We start from the raw sequence: 17,530 nt of genomic DNA on the forward strand, positions 1-17,530 counted from the left end.
GAACATTAAATGAAATAGATATTCTTGGCCCACTAGCACACATTTTTTTTTTTGCCTTCTAATGCTTCATTCAAAATAACAAGAATCAAAAGGCAAGTGGTAAAGATTTGATCAATGCAAAGACAATATCAGCCGAGGGCAAAGGTGGCTGGGAAATAGGGAAAAGATACAAAACAGGACTATCAGTTGCCAAAGAAGGTAGATCCAGTATTGGAGGAAGTCTAAGAAAAACACGTGTGTGTGTGTGTTTGTGTGTGTGTGTTTCTAGTAGCAGGAGTAGAAGTAGTAGTCTTAGATGAAATCAATCAAGGATATGTAGAGCAAAATATCTATAGCTATCACTTCTGGAATATTTATTCTTATATACTAAGCATTGTGCTAAGTGCTTTACATGTATTAATTAATACAAAAGAATTACAGGAAACAAAGGAGAACAAAAGGAAACACAAATGTCAGTGAGGAAAAGCAACACTTAAGAGATGAACCGAAAAAGCCATTTCTATGGAGGAATAATAATAAGTAGGCAGAGAGGTAGAAAGAAAACTCGAAAATTGTGGTGTCAAGCAATCTAAGGGAGAATAAAATCTTAAGGAAGAAGTAGACAATAGTAACAAATGCTGGATAAACAGTCAAATAAGGAAAAGGTCATAATTTGGTCTTGAGGTCTCCCTCACAAGAGGACTATAAATATTAGTCCTGCCCTGACAGGGCTTCAAGATAAAGCTACTTCTTTATCTTGGCAGATAGCCAAATACCTAAGTGTCCAATTTGTGACCAGTTGCTTCTCTCACAGGAAACTTGTTGATATTTACAGACCTCCTTGTGGCTCTTATCTGACCTGTGTCCAGTATTTTCCTACAAGGAGGGTCACTCTTTAGGAGAGCCCTGACTTAGAAAACAGGCTCAATATGTCAGTCAGGTGAGATACAGAGGAGGCAACTCAACAAAGCACATGAAATAACAGAAGCTGTCAACTGCAAACAGTAACATAGTCATGATCCTTTTTACAAATATGCTGCCAATATGATGATCACTGAAATACCTTTGAAAAGCTATCTGCTCAATAGGACTTTCTGCGGCGGGAAGGAATTACTAGCTGGTCCCAAATAAAACCACATAAGACAAAAAGAAGCATGTGTGCTTTTTGGTGCCTTTGTGCTCCCATAAACCTGAGTTTATAAGATAAACTTACAGATCTCAGAAAGAAGAGGGCAGCACACCTTACAGGGCCAGTGGGAAGTGGGGCCAGGGACAGTTCAGGACACATACACTCAACCAGCACGTGGGGAGCAAGAGAGAGAAAGAGAGACCATTATGCTAAAGCTTTTATTGGGTTCCAATAAGGATCCAACAGTTACACAAGTGGGTTTCCTGAGGGAAGTTCTAATTAATGGCTTTAGAGTAAGCAGGCACTAGCTCTGTGGGGCCTTGCTGTGATTGAGAGGGATCACTGCTGCTTATCTGCTGCTCAGTTGTGCTAGGTGTGAGCATCAGAGGAGCAAGCCAAGTAGATTATTGTAGGAGATCGATCAGAGTGGTGGGAGAAACTATAGGGAAAGGAGCAGACCTTCTGAAAGGTCAGAAGGCTCTGCATACCTTCGGGGAAGAATAAGCTGAAGTCAGCTGTTCTCTGACACTGAGGCAGAGGGCAAGGAGTAGGTACAAGTAAGTGTGGGGGAATTAATCTTAAACAGGCTTGTTTATTTATGTTGACCAGGAACTGACCTTTGATCATCCGCATGCATGAGTTTCTGTGAAAGGGGAACAATAAATGTTACTTACCCACAGACTGTGTTTGCTCCAGGCTTTTGGAGTTATGTCTACACTGAATAAAAGCAAGCAGCTTGCACTTTGGCCACTAGAGCCCTGCAGACCCCTAGCTGCTCTTACACTGCATACCTGTGTCTGAGTACTCCCCTTTCATCCATCGCTCAGCCAGGTCTGTGGGACGGACCTGGTGATTATGTCTAGCTGTCCCATAGGGAGAGGGTCACCAGGAGATTGTCATACATGGCAGGTATCTGGATCAACTACATTGAGGAACTGGGAAGAGGCAGAGAATTAGAAACTGTGTCCCTGGTGACTAAGTCCTGCTTGTGGTATAAGAAAACTTATATTCAAAATGAATCCTGAGAAAACGTAAAATTATAAGAATCCACTACAGGCTAAAAAGCATCCATGAGAATGGGCAATTAGGGGGCCTTTGATGTCATTTTCCAGAGAAATATCCCTGGAGTGGTGAGTTCTAAAGACAGATTGTAGTGGGCTGAGGAGTGAATAGGAGGTGAGGAAAGGTAGAGGAAAGTTGGAGATGACTCTTTAAAAAATTGTCTACGAAGTTTAGGAGGAAGGACAATAGTTGGAGGGGACCATAATTGAGAACTGGTTATTGAATGTCAGAACTGAAAATAACTGGAAAAAATATCAATCCTAAATCAACTTTCATGCTAATGTCTTTAGGATCATTTTGAATTGATAAGTCATCACTTTGGAAAAACAATTTTTCCTCTAAAGCTTTACTAATGCAGATTTTTCCACTAAATGGAAATGGGTGTCATCCCAATACAGCTTCATTGTTCTTCTCTCTATAAATCTCAATAATAAAGGTGAGACACAGGCATAGAGAAGAGAAAATTGTAGCTTTAAGCAAACTGTAAATCTTAAGGAAAACATTGGTATAAGCATGAATTTGAAGAAGATCCAAAGAAATAATAGAAAATAAAATACCACTTAAAGCAAAGAAAAATTTAATTTCCAAGTGTAGATATTTATTGAAAGTCTGCTAGGTATGAGACACTGTATTTGGTTTGGCAATTTCAACTGAGATTGATTGCCATTTTATTTCATCTAGAATTTACCCTATTCTATTTTCTCTTCCATGGGACATTTGGTTCCTCTTTATACGGTCATTCTTTTTTCTCCTTTAACCCTGCCCAATGACTTCCTTAAAATAAAAGAGAGGGAGCTAAATGGAACCAAGTCAAATAAGTTAAAGTTATACTGTAGCAAAAACATTTAACAAGAAATAACAGTGAGGCCCTTTGTTATTATAGGCATTACTTTTGGAATTTCTGAGATTTTAAATAAGGTCTGGCTATTTTAGTTATAAGGATTAAATTTCAGGGCCTCAGGTGAAAAATCCTTTTACCTGGAGTCAAAACTTCTTACACTTTATAGAGACAACTTTGGAACATAAGTTTAAAATTTTATGAAAGAGTGATTTACCCACAGTGTTAATTACCAGAAAGATTACATTGTGTCACTAAGTTTTATAGGCATTCAGAAAATAAGTGATTAATACAATGACCTATTTTCAAAAGCTTTTCATGGAGAACATGAGAACTGAGCTTGGTCATGAGACTGGGTGTGTGGCAAACAGAGAAAGAGAAGGGAAGACATTCTAAAAAGAAAAAGCAGGCTCATGCCTGTAATCCCAGTACTTTGGGAGGCCAAGGTGGGCGGATCATGAAATCTAGACCATCCTTGCCAACATAGTGAAAACCTGTCTCTACTAAAAATACAAAAATTAGCTGGGCGTGGTGGTGCACAACTGTAGTCCCAGCTACTCAGGAGGCTGAGGCAGGAGAATTGCTTAAACCTGGGAGGTGGAGGTTGCAGTGAGCCGAGATTGCGCCACTGCACTTCAGCCTGGAGACAGAGCAAGACTCCGTGTCAAAAAAAAAAAAAAAAGGAAAAAGAAAAAGCAGAATGTGCAAATCGTGTTTAAATTACAAGCTAGAAACTGGAGGAACTTCACTTGGATGTTTTTTGAGAGTCAACTGGTAAATAAAAATATTGTAAAGGGTAATTCATACAGTAATTGTTATACTATCAAAATAAAGAGCTCTGACTTATTTTCTGTGCTCATAAAACAACCACTTAATGGGAGACAATTTATAGTCCTTATCCTTCCATCAGTGAAAAGTACCAAGTTACCAGCCCATATTTAAATCTTAGTTCTTTGATAATAATACTACTGATATATATATTTAATAATATTTATATAGATATATTTTATAATACTGAGATATAAAATACTGCTACTGAGATATATATATATCTCAGTATTATTCTTATATATGTATTTCAGTAGTAGCATTTAATATATATATCTCAGTATTTTATATATTGAGTATATATAATATATATCTCAGTAGTAGTTTTTTAATATATATATATCAGTGGTATTATTATATATTACTATTATATTAATAGTATTATTATATGTCAGATATGTCTTTTTATATATCAGTACTATTATTATTAAATATAATCATATATTTATATAAATATATATTCTATACATTTAATAATATTAAACACATATTTAATAATAATATTAAGATGTATATTTATGTCAGTTATATAAATCTAAGTATGATACAATTTATATCCTTAAAGTGTTTAAAGATTTATATCCTTAAAGTATATTAAGATAGCTGTCATAAAATCTGTTTCTAGTTTAAAATTTTACTAGTTATTTTTTTCTGAGAAAAAAAATCATGACCATATAGTCTCACAAAAAAATTCAAAATAACAGAATATATACCATGCAAAAATGTTAATAATATATTTAAAACTCCAATAACAGGTCTTGGAATATAGCAAACACTTGAGATTTGCTGAAGGTTAATTTGAAATCAATTATCAATAAATGTTTGATGAATTGAATTATTTAAAAATTCTATCATATAATTAAGTCCTAATTATTAATGTTTATATTACCTTATGCCTGGTGGCATATATACCTTCCAAATTTGTACTTTAACTGTACTGGAAATACATCCAATTTAACAATTATTGGATGCCTATTACCTACCTACCATAGTAGGGAACAAAATAGATTCAGTCTGTGACTTCACAAGAGTTTCATGTAGTGGAAAGAGTGTGAAGTTGATTTACCAACTTTTTCAGGTTCTGAAGCAGATGAATCATGAGTAAAATAACTTGATAGGTATATATTGAAGCCTAAATGTTGGTATGAGTGTACTTGTCTTAGTCCACGTGACGGACAATATACCATATTCCCGTTAGAATGCTGGGAGATACTCTCCCCATCATTACTCCAAAGGTCATACAAATTAGTACATGAATTCTACTCATTAGCTAAAATCAGATAATTCTAAAATGCATTGCTCTCAATGGTTAAATATTTTCTTGAATTTTAAAACAAACTAAGTAAAGCCTACAATTCAAAAATGACTCTGTATGGTTTCATTAAAACTTACATTTTGACACTTTCTCAGAAAACCAACACTTCATAATTAATGAATGTTCAGCCAAATGTTGACCTTCTGAATAACTGGAGAAGTGCAAACTTAGGAGGAAAAAAAATGGCTTTAAACTGTTTATTAAAGCCTAAGAACTCTTATCTTTTAGAATGAAAGTTGTGGAAGCATGCCTAAGAAATTGGCTCTATAGGTTAACATTTGAAAGTCCGTTTTGCATAAAAATTCATGCTGTCTACTTTATGCTATATTTAAAATAAGAGGAATTGTAAAAAGCTTAATCTACCTTGATTGCTAGGGGCCTCCTTCAAAGGTTCCTGAGATTCCCAGGCATGTGAAGCCTAAAGATACCAAGCTCTTGTTATAAATGGCTTCAGCATTCATTTTCAGTCTAAATCTATGGAGCCTCTACTGACAGATGGCTTCTTCCTATCTGGGATTGAATTAGTTACTTTATTTACTTAAAGGTTAGTGTTAATAAAATCAAGGTCAGAGGAGTGGACTGGTAAAAACAAGATTTGATGTCAAACAGACCTGGTTTTGAATTTCACTTCTGCTCCCCAGAGGTTCAGTTTCTTCATCTTTAAAATGGAGAGGAGCACCTCTTTCTGTGTTTTGGCATGAAACAGAGTAGACTTTGATTACCACTGATACACTTGTTTCTGGGCCTGATACATAATAGTCCCTCAATAAAAGCTCATTGTGGTTTTAATTTTTGTATTATAAAAACAGCTCACTGTACACAATGTGTATTCTCCTGATCATTAGTCAGCAATATTCAAGTATTAACAAAGAAAATTGTTGTGAGAATGTATAGAAGCCTATGTACCTGCTTATATTTGGACCCATCAGAAATTTCGGATTTTTCAATAAAAATTCGTGATTTTATATGACAACTATTAGCATCTCCAATGCTATCCCCGAGTGAATAAATTATGAGGTAAGCATGTAAAATAATAGTTTTGGCTCATATTTGCTCAATAAATTGTGTTTAATGGATGAATAGGTGATTAAAAATTAACTATTTCAAACTATGAAGCACTCAGAAACAAAGCTTGAGGCAAGAGACTAAAGATTTAGTTTCCTATTGACACTGACTTGCTCTATGACCTGGAAAAATTTCTTAATTCCTGGTTCTCCATTTTTTTATCTTTAAAATGTAAGGGTTTGATATGTAATGTCCACAGTCCCTCCCTAGTTCTGTAGGTCTATGATTCACACAATTGACAAAACATGACTTAAGCGGCAATTTGTTCATATAAACAGAAGAGGTGATAGGACATAAGTCCCTTGAGCTCTTAAATTCCATCTTTCTGTTTTCTCTTCTAATAGACTTTTGAAAAAATTTCAAAATGTGTAATATTTGACCAACTGAAGAATAGACAGTACATTAGCAAAGTCCACAATGAAAATGAACACATTTGAAGGAAATTATTTCAATGTGTTGAACAGAAAAGAGAGACTCGAAGACAGGTATTTAGGAGAAGAAATTGGAAATATTAACAAGTTTGTTGTGAAAGGTAGCAAAATATGCTTCCCCAAAATAGGCTACTTTGGCGTATTGATTATTTTGAGCTACAGAAAATTGAAAAGAAACAGATATAGGAACTCTTTGCTCTCCCTCTATTTGCCTAAAAGAGGGACATAAATTTATGAAGGATTCCTTTCTGTCTTCTCTACCAGAAAGGATAGAAGTTAATCACAAGAGATAACTCTAGACACTTATCAGCCCAGAGAAGTCACCAGAGGAATCTATATAAGAAACTTTGCTAAAACTAACTTTTATTTTCCATTAGTTTCCTCCATATATTTACCTTCCCCCAATTTGTTGCCAGTAGAAGTTCAAAGTTATTTTTCTTTGTCTTATTACTGCTCTACAAAGTTATTGTAAATTTTTGTTAAGATTATAGATGAGACCAAGTTCTAACTACTACTTGGAGTTACTCATCACTGAGTAGTCCCATTTATGTGCAATACACATGTTAATAAACTCCTGATTGTTTTTCTCTTATTTATCTGCCTTTTTGTCAGTCTAATTTATATGGCCTCAGCCAATAAACCTAAAATGGATAGAAAAAATATTTTTTTTCTCCCCTACAAATACCAATCTATGGCTTTCCATGATGACAATTGGCCAACAGTTCCTGGTAGGGTTTTTCATTTGTTCATTCATTTCTTCAACAAATATTTATTGTATGATTGTTATTTGCATGATCACATGCTAGAGTAAGAGTATAAAGATGAATCTGACATACACTTTGTCCTTAAAGAAATTTCTCTTTAGTAAGGATGGTAAGGTATGTATATAAATAGAAAAATGTTCTAAATTATATGAGTGAAAGTTATATGAGATTTATGAGAAGGTAACATTTAATTTCAGCCAGGCAGATGGCAATGAAGGGAGGGAAATTGAGGAAATCTGGGAGGAGATGGCATTTTAGCTGGAGATAAAGCATGAATATATGAGGCAGAAGGACATTTCTGGCTGAAGAAATAATGTGAACAAAGCCTCAAAGGAGCAGGAAGCTGGATGCAGTTTGACTCTACAATTGGGTTTAGGAAAGAGACTAATGAGAAATACATTTAAAACAAACACTGTCAGATTGAAGGGACCTTGAATGTCATACTAAGGAAATTTAGTCTTTATCTTTCATAAAAAAACAGGACACTGGAGGTCTTGGATAAGGTGGATGGAAGAAAGTTGTGTTTTAGGGTGGCAACTCCTGATGAAGATTTGTGCATGGTGGTTGTAAACTGAATCTTAATAGGCAGATAACTCAACTGAAGTTCTTAACCATAATCATTTTCTTGTCCAGGCTGCTGATGTGCTGTTGCAACATGGAGCTAATGTCAATATTCAAGATGCAGTTTTTTTCACTCCATTGCATATTGCAGCGTACTATGGACATGAACAGGTAAGTCTGACAGTAGGATTTCCAAAGGTTAGGTGTTGCTTAAGTGTAGGCTTTTGTTGAATTGTCCTAGCTTCAAAGAGTTTATATTTAAAATATATTTGAATTATTTTTGCCATATTCTCATCAACCCATCCTTGAGGAGCTTGTAGATCCATATAAGCATTACGGTTGTCATGTTACTCATTTTTGCTGATGATCTTATTACACAAAGAGGCAGAAAAGTACATTGGTAAGTGTGTGGCCTCAGGAATCAGTCAGCCTAAATTTGAAAAATTCCTAGTGTTTTGACCAGGTGTAGGTTATGTAATCCCTCTGATCTTCATTTATTCACCTATAAAATGGGGAAAGATATTAATTATAACCTCATAGGGTTGCTGTTAGGATGCAATATAAATTGTTTGGAAAATGCTCAGTAAATATAGCTGTGATGATGCTAATGGCAATAACAATAAAACAACTCATAAAGGCTCTATAAAAACAATTACTAATGTGCTTTATAATTTACTTTAAATATGTGATTCTATAACAGGTCCATATTTATAAAATTTTATTTTCTGTAATAATATATATAGAAACTTTAAAGTTTTTAACATACTTTTGTTCAATACATGATTTTTATTTAACCTTCACAACTTTATGAAATTAATGAATTGCCACATGACTGAGCTTATACTATGGGATAGGCACTATGATAGAACCTTTATCTTTTTTTCTAATTTTTCCACAACCCTGAAATTGGCTATTTGCCCTTTTTTTTTTTTCTTTTTTGTGAGACGGAGTATTGCTCTGTCGCCCAGGCTGGAGTGCAGTGGCTCGATCTCGGCTCACTGCAAGCTCCGCCTCCTGGGTTCACGCCATTCTCCTGCCTCAGCCTCCCAAGTAGCTGAGACTACAGGCACCTGCCACCACGCCTGACTAATTTTTTGTATATTTAGTAGAGACGGGGTTTCACCATGTTAGCCAGGATGGTCTCGATCTCCTGACCTCGTGATCCTCCTGCCTCGGCCTCCTGAAGTCCTGGGATTACAGGTGTGAGCCACCATGCCCAGCCTATTTGCCCATTCTTATCAATGGTATACATGAAGCTCAGTCAGGTGAGGTAGCATGCCAGAGTCATGCGCTATTAATAATAAATAGAAGAGCTGGAATATGTACTCAGTTCTGTCTGATCCCAAAGCCTATATTGTTTTGCTGTACCAAAGTACCTCTTCTTATTCTTCTTCAACCAGTGAGACAAATTATCAAGTCCAAACAATTTTCCTAAATGGAGAAGCCAGAATTCAAGGCAACATTTTCTAACTCTAAAGTCTGCTGATTTTCAACCTTAACATATCAAAAGACAAAATTTCTATGTTTCTTTAAAACACTGCCCTTTGACAGTGAGAATACTCAAGGAACTGAAAATAACAAAAAAAAAAAAAAAAAAAAAGAGAGAGACAGAGAGAAATACAAATGTAACTGGATAACCGAATATAACTGTTCATTGAATACTCCATTTTCACTCTTCCTCACTTTGTCTTTCTAGACTCATTCAATTGTAGGTTAGAATTATACCTTTTTACCTTCCTGGAGGTCATGCCACAGCACCACCTGAGGGTTCCAAGTTGAAGATCAAACTTACTTGTGTCCCTGTGCTCAATAGTCATTGTGCCTTTATTCCTCTGCTAGCTGGCATATGCCTGGACACTCTAAGACCTGTGAAGCGTGACCTATAGGTAGGAAGATTGCTTATTTCATTGATGTGCTGCTCAGAGTGCACTGGAGTGCAATGAAGAGCTGGGCACTGAAAATACTTTTAGAAGTACAGGCCCAAAAGCACAAGTAATGGAAAAATCCCATCATTTCCTAACCTCAGGCACAGACAGGATATATACAATGCATATTATTTGTAGAGTCATCCTCTTTGACGATTAACCTCATCACCCAGCAGAAACATAAAGAGCCTGTATGCATGTTGGGTGGAGAACTAAATTTGTTTACTTTCCCTGAAAATATAGTCACAGTCTTATAAAATTATGCTAAAATGTGGATGGCCTTTTTATGATAAGGGACTCACTTTCTGTGTGTGAAGGCAGCACATAAGTAATTTATGGAGGCTATTGTCATTTGCTAAAATATGCTGACAAGGAGAATGGTACATTCAATATATAAATGTACCTAATGTGCCATGTTCCTTGTCATTTGTTTATTTACTTATTTTTAAGTGGAAGAGTAGATGTTTTGCACCAAGAGCAATATTTCCTAGGTATGTAATAATAGTCCTTAATAGACAATCGATTTCAGAGATAGTTTAAATCAGTCTATTATAAAGTCACATAATCAGAATATATGGAGTCTGTGTAAGTGGAAATATCTGCTTAGGCATGCAAGGTTCTTGAAACTAAACTTCTGCTGTTCTGATTTCACCTGAATTAAGTCTTGATCTGCCCATTAGCCAACAAAGAGATAAAATGCACATGCTCCAAGTTGGGGCTACCACTTTTACTAACAGTTATTGAATGCCAGGCACTTTTCTGAGTGCTTTTCATGCGATGACTTATTTAATCCTCACAACAACTCCAAGAGGTAGAAATATTATTATTCCAACTTTAGCAATGAAGAAGCTGAAGTATCAAAACTATAAACAATTTGTTCAAAGCAATATAGCTGATAAGTAGAAGACTGATTTCCAAACCCTTGCTCTTGTCTATTGTACTCAATAGGAACTCAGTTCCCCACATCACACCCAGCTAATATTTTCTCTAGAATTTCTCTCAAATGTCTACCACATTCTTGAGAGATTTATACTCAAGACATGGTTATTTGCTGACTCATGGGAAGTAAAAATAGTTTTAGAGCTTGAATTCACTTTTGTGCTGACACTTCAGTGGTCAAGACAATTGAGAGGGGTCAATTGCTATTTGAACCCTAACTGCTATTTTAAGGATTCAGAGGCATCCTAACTTAACCTTAGTATCACTGAGGTGACTTTTGAAATTCTCAGGAGAGCCAATATCAAGTTTACAGAAGTTATTTGGAAAGTTCTTAAGTATATATATAAGTGACTCAAAGGAATTCCTAAATTACCTGAAACAATCGCAGGAAGACTCCCACATGCTTCATTACTTTATCCCTCTCTGACCCTATGGATGTAGAGTCTCAGTTAAATGGAGAAGATGCCAGGGCTACTGTTTCTATCTCCAGTTCACTCACATATCCAGAAAAAGACCCATATGACTGAAGCTGCCATGAAAATCAAGAATCAAGTCAACTACCACTGGCTCTGGCCAGAAGGAGACTTTGGAAGAGATCATTCAGAGAAGATTCTGCATGACTCTAGAGAGGATTATTTATGTAAAGTGAAGACCTACATTATGAAATTGACAAGAGAGTTGATACTAAAGAGAGCAAATGACAAAAGTAGGTTTTCAAGGTCAAAAAATGTGGAGATGATTTTTAAAAAACGTTTTCAAAGCTCCCTAGCATCTCATCTAGCCCCACATTAACTCTGAAACAGAAATGGTAAACAACATTGTCTCAGTTCACCAACAAAAATAAAAAATAACATTTACAGAACAAATACTGTATGTCAGTCATTGTGCTATGCACTTTAAACAAATTCCTAATCTAATCCTCATGACAACCCATGAGTTAAGTCTTAATATTATTCCCATTGCACATATGAAAAAACTTGGGTATAGATAAATTAGCTAATTTTTCTCAAGAACACAGAGCTGATATAAATCAGATTCTAGATTCGAATCTAGGACTATCTTAAACTGCACCTTAACTCTTAATCAGTATATGATATTACCCCTCACGTTAACAACATAAGGTCAGTAGCAGGCACTATTGTTTGCTTAGGCAAAGCTATCATTTCAACTATTACCACTTTGGGCCATATATTTTTTTTCTTCCTTGCTGACTCCTTATTTTATTTCACTGTTCAACCTCTCTCCTAGAGGTTGTGCTTAGAGATGCTCCTATCCCCAGCCACTGTGTGTTAGATCTTAATTAGCTGAAGCCACTCACAGTAAATCTTTCCCCTTGCCCAGGGATTGGTTTAGAAAGTTGCAAATGACCTAGTCCAGACTGAAGAGATATGGGAAGATGGTTTCTGGAGAGTTTTTAAGAAGGAATTTCTATATTTAAAAAATGGTCGCTTGTTCCAAAAGGTAGAGGTCATCTCCTGCTCTACCCTGTGAACTTCAGTTTGTAATGGCTGGAGATGCTGCAGCTCTCTTACTACCATGAGTTGATCTATCCTACTTGCTGAGCATGGCAGAACAGAATGACAGAAAGAACTTGAGTTATTAAGCTGTTGTATTAATCAACCCTAGAATTGTTCCAGTTTTGGACTTCTTGCTAGGTGATATAACAATAAATTTTTGTGGTTTAAGCCAGTTGTGTTCTTGTATACTGCCAAAAGTTTTGCATTATTGTTTGAATTTTTATACTGATTTCAAATGAATAAATCCTTTAGGTAACTCGCCTTCTTTTGAAATTTGGTGCTGATGTAAATGTAAGTGGTGAAGTTGGAGATAGACCCCTCCACCTAGCATCTGCAAAAGGATTCTTGAATATTGCAAAACTCTTGATGGAAGAAGGCAGCAAAGCAGATGGTAAGATTATATATTTAAAAGACCTTTGCTATCATTTGCTTTATGTATACCTTTTACTTGTACTTCTCTTACTAGAGAATAATCTTGAAGTTGACTAATCCTGTAGTCATGTACTTATTTGCTCCACAAGTCATAATTCATCTTTAATATATTTATCAGGCCTACATGCGAATCCTTCTTAACATGTTTTAGCTCAATTCTTTTTTATTTTTAATTATACTTTAAGTTTTAGGGTACATGTGCACAACATGCAGGTTAGTTACATATGTATACATGTGCCATGCTGGTGCGCTGCACCCACTAACTCGTCATCTAGCATTAAGTATATCTCCCGATGCTATCCCTCCCCCCTCCCCCCATGCCACAACAGTCCCCAGAGTGTGATATTCCCCTTCCTGTGTCCATGTGATCTCATTGTTCAATTCCCACCTATGAGTGAGAATATGTGGTGTTTGGTTTTTTGTTCTTGCGATAGTTTACTGAGAATGATGATTTCCATTTTCATCCATGTCCCTACAAAGGACATGAACTCATCATTTTTTATGGCTGCATAGTATTCCATGGTGTATATGTGCCACATTTTCTTAATCCAGTCTATCATTGTTGGACATTTGGGTTGGTTCCAAGTCTTTGCTATTGTGAATAATGCCGCAATAAACATATGTGTGCATGTGTCTTTATAGCAGCATGATTTATAGTCCTTTGGGTATATACCCAGTAATGGATGGCTGGGTCAAGTGGTATTTCTAGTTCTAGATCCCTGAGGAATCGCCACACTGACTTCCACAATGGTTGAACTAGTCTACAGTCCCACCAACAGTGTAAAAGTGTTCCTATTTCTCCACATCCTCTCCAGCACCTGTTGTTTCCTGACTTTGTAATGATTGCCATTCTAACTGGTGTGAGATGGTATCTCATTGTGGTTTTGATTTGCATTTCTCTGATGGCCAGTGATGATGAGCATTTTTTCATGTGTTTTTTGGCTGCATAAATGTCTTCTTTTGAGAAGTGTCTGTTCATGTCCTTCACCCACTTTGTGATGGGGTTGTTTATTTTTTTCTTGTAAATTTGTTTGAGTTCATTGTAGATTCTGGATATTAGCCCTTTGTCAGATGAGTAGGTTGCGAAAATTTTCTCCCATTTTGTAGGTTGCCTGTTCACTCTGATGGTAGTTTCTTTTGCTGTGCAGAAGCTCTTTAGTTTAATTAGATCCCATTTGTCAATTTTGGCTTTTGTTGCCATTGCTTTTGGTGTTTTAGACATGAAGTCCTTGCCCATGCCTATGTCCTGAATGGTAATGCCTAGGTTTTCTTCTAGGGTTTTTATGGTTATTAGGAGCTCCAGTGAAAGTAAAGAGTTCTCTTAGATGAATTAGATGTCTTCACTGTTGTTCACTAATCTTTTATAAATTGAGACATTATTTACTTCTAGCAAATTCTGAAATCTTAAATATATAACCTGATGAATATTTATGTATGTATACATCCATTGAAAACCACCCAGATCAAGATTTAGAATATTTAATTACTCTGAAATTTTCCCTTATCTTATCTTTCCCTTCCCTTACCTCATCTCAGGTAAATAGACTTTACCACCAAAGGTAATTAATATTCTGGCTTTTATTGCTATATATAGTTTTGTCTGTTCTTGAAGTTTGTATAATTTTGTGACTGGCTTCTTTTGCTCAACAAGATGATTTGGACATATATCCATGTTGTTGTATGGATCGTAGTTTGTTCTTTTATATTGTTTATGATTGCATGAATATACCATAATTGGCATATCCATTCTTCTCCTAGTAGACATTTTAATATTTCTAGTGTTTTTCTATTATGAATACAATTGCCAGTAACATTCTTATTCACGTCTTTTTGTGGACATATATGTTCATCTCTCTTGAATATATATATAAACACACATATATATATGAGAGAATTGATAAATCGAAAGGTAATAATGCATATGTTTAATGTTTTAGGAAATTTCTAGACAGTTTTCCAAAATGTTTGTACTATTTTAAAATCTTTCAACAATATATGAGAATTTCAGTTGCTTCCCACAGCATCCCCAATATTTGATATTATATTACTATACTTTTTAATAGAGTTTGAGTGTGATCCATTTGGGAAAAAGAAAGCTTTAGAATACATAGAAGGACTTCAGAATCAGTTGATAGAATAGAATTTCCTTTCATTTTTATTTTCTTAATTATAAAATAAATTTTGGAAAGTTTACTATAGGTATTGAAAAATTTCTTTTTTTCGCTTTTCCTCACAAACTTTATTTTTTGACAAAAATTCACTCAGAGTTGCGTCTTGCCATTAAATTCTCTCAGGCATATCCAACATTCTTCCATCGACCCCCAAGAGACCTAATTAAAAGCCCAGCTGTAAGAACTGCTGGCCTTTGCAGCGGGAACAATACACATTTCCAAAAGGACATGGTTGTCAAATCTCTGGAACTGCCAGTTCCTTGGTTCAAAATTCAGATTGATATTTAGTTAATAAAGCTAATCAATGTTTTTTATCTACCCATAAGGAATATACAAAGTATCCTAGAGACAACCGTGGCAAGAGACTAAGGTAATTTCCAGTTTCCAAGTTGTAAACAAGGGCCACTTTATTTCGTAAAATGTAAGAAACATAGCTTGCATTGTTTTCTATACGCCAGTATGCAGTAACTCAGGCAGCTACTTTAGAGCATTATTATAAACAACCTATGTTGTCAGGATGTAAGGAATGCTGTTCCTTGGACCTTGTTTAAGCAGTCTGTTTCATTTTGTTAGTCTAGAATAGGCACAGGTACACCTGTGTGAACGACTAAACACATAATCGTGTTTTTGAAACTGCCTCACTCTTCCAAGGGGTCAGGAACTACATCACTTTTTCCTTTCATTATTGATGCCAACCTTAGCTTTTTATTCCTCTGCACAACTCCAGAGCTCAGTAGTGTCAAAATGAATGTCATTTATGATCAGCATGTCTCTTTCAGTGCAAAAGGCATTGAAATGTGTAATACTACAACCATATTCCCCTTACATACCAGCATCATATGATACAATTTTTAACATTTTCTTTTTGTTGCACGCAAGTATTACATGCCTCTTATTCAATTATTTTATAAAGTCAAGAGACGGCGTGACTCACATTTTTAAGTATTTTTATTTCTTTCTAGTACACGCTTGATATTTAAGTCCCATTTGTACTTCAACCAATTGCAAAAAATAAACCAGAAGATCTGCTATGCCAATGGACACTGTGCAGGACTTATTATTAGTTAGTTCACTTATTCTAAAATGTAGCTAAGCCTCCAAATGATTAATTTTAGATCTGGACCCTGCTTGTGGTAAATGGACATAGGAGAAAGATTAAATAAATGACCCCAAAGAGAGTACAATTTGAAATCCAGTATTTACAGTATGTTTCCATGGTAACAGAATGTCACAAATGAAAATAAATTCAGGTTGCAAAATTACCCAAAATGTAATTCTGAAAGCAGCCTCTTTGGTTCAGCATGTTTGAGAGGCTGACCTATTCAGTTAGGTATGTTTTAAGTCTCTGTTTTGCTTCTTTGTATCTCTTAGGGTAATGAAAAAGGAGAAATATAATGCCCCCTAAATGAGATTGAAAAGGTTAAAATATTGATGGACTGAATAAGAAAAAAAAATGGTGATACAGCCTTCAAAATATGCCATTTTGATAATGTTAAAAATTGAAAAAATTAAATTTAGAATTAATAATTTCTGTCATCTTAATCATAAATGCTATATTTCTTTAAAATAACACAATCCTTGCAACTGGACAGAGCTGGATATTACAGAAAGCCACAAAAAATTCCTAGAACATGTCCAGCCATAGGAAGTGTTTTATTTTTTGAAATATAGCTTGTTGGATGTATTACACAGATCTGTTACTGAAAGCTTATTAAAGACAGACCTGGGAGTAATTTTAAAGATCTTATAGGACCTGCTGACATTGCTTGGTCAATCTGGAAAATTTTATTTTATTTTTAGGGTCAATAAGCGGAAATAAAGAAGAAACAGCACCCATTCACCCAATATTCAATATTTCTTTCAAAAGACATCACTATCTACCTACTCTCTTCAAAACAGAGCACCAGGAACTAGATATTTTCCTAATAATGATTTACATGTATTTTTTGTTTTAAATTCTCCTTTATATGTTTCTCAATAAGATGCTAAGTTAGAGCAAATAGAATGTTATTCATGCATTCAATTTTTCTAAGATATAATAATATATTTTCTTTTTTGTCTTTGCAAATTGGTCGAAGACAAAACTAAATACATCACAATGACTGAGGCAAAAACAGACATGTATACGCATAAATTCTATGTCTGATTCCATATTTGTCCTGGCTTGTTCCTTCAGTTGGTATTTACATCTTCTTTGATGGGAATAATGTTTCAGCCACTGTGGATAATTCACCAAGTAAATAACCTAATTTGAAGTTTACTAATTCAATTGGCGAGGGATACTGGGTGGGGCCAAGGATGGCCAAAGGCAAATTATAAATTAATAGAAGATTGCACTGCATTCTGCTTTGCATTTTTCCTTCTGAACCTTAAGAATTCTTATGTCACGCTCCAGATGCCCTGGACCCCTAACTGTTCTCAAGCATTGACTTGTGGCATTGACTATCCCTGGCTTAGAACAGCATGTGAACAAAGGAAAAGCTTTTTTAAAAGGGAGATAATCAGAAGAACCAACATTCTTCTGAATGAAAGGCGTCTTTTTGAGCTGCTCATTAATAAAAAAAGATTCAAAGG

General features: G+C 35.3%; 2 protein-coding genes across 3 annotated transcripts in view; both read left to right on the plus strand.

The window, feature by feature from the left end:
• Positions 1 to 17,530, plus strand: part of FPGT-TNNI3K (FPGT-TNNI3K readthrough) — a 346,187-nt gene that overhangs the window by 125,164 nt on the left and 203,493 nt on the right. For both annotated transcript variants that reach the window (NM_001112808.3, NM_001199327.2), the window contains exons 8-9: positions 8,045 to 8,143; positions 12,606 to 12,744. In NM_001112808.3, the coding sequence (NP_001106279.3) occupies positions 8,045 to 8,143; positions 12,606 to 12,744 (238 nt within the window). The remainder of the gene's footprint in view (positions 1 to 8,044; positions 8,144 to 12,605; positions 12,745 to 17,530) is intronic.
• TNNI3K (TNNI3 interacting kinase) overlaps positions 1 to 17,530 on the plus strand; it is a 309,042-nt gene that overhangs the window by 88,019 nt on the left and 203,493 nt on the right. The window contains exons 6-7 of the mRNA NM_015978.3: positions 8,045 to 8,143; positions 12,606 to 12,744. Coding sequence (NP_057062.1) covers positions 8,045 to 8,143; positions 12,606 to 12,744 — 238 coding nt within the window. The remainder of the gene's footprint in view (positions 1 to 8,044; positions 8,144 to 12,605; positions 12,745 to 17,530) is intronic.

The sequence above is a fragment of the Homo sapiens genome, chromosome 1 (genome assembly GCF_000001405.40).
Source record: "Homo sapiens chromosome 1, GRCh38.p14 Primary Assembly".
Classification (NCBI taxonomy): Eukaryota; Metazoa; Chordata; class Mammalia; order Primates; family Hominidae; genus Homo; species Homo sapiens.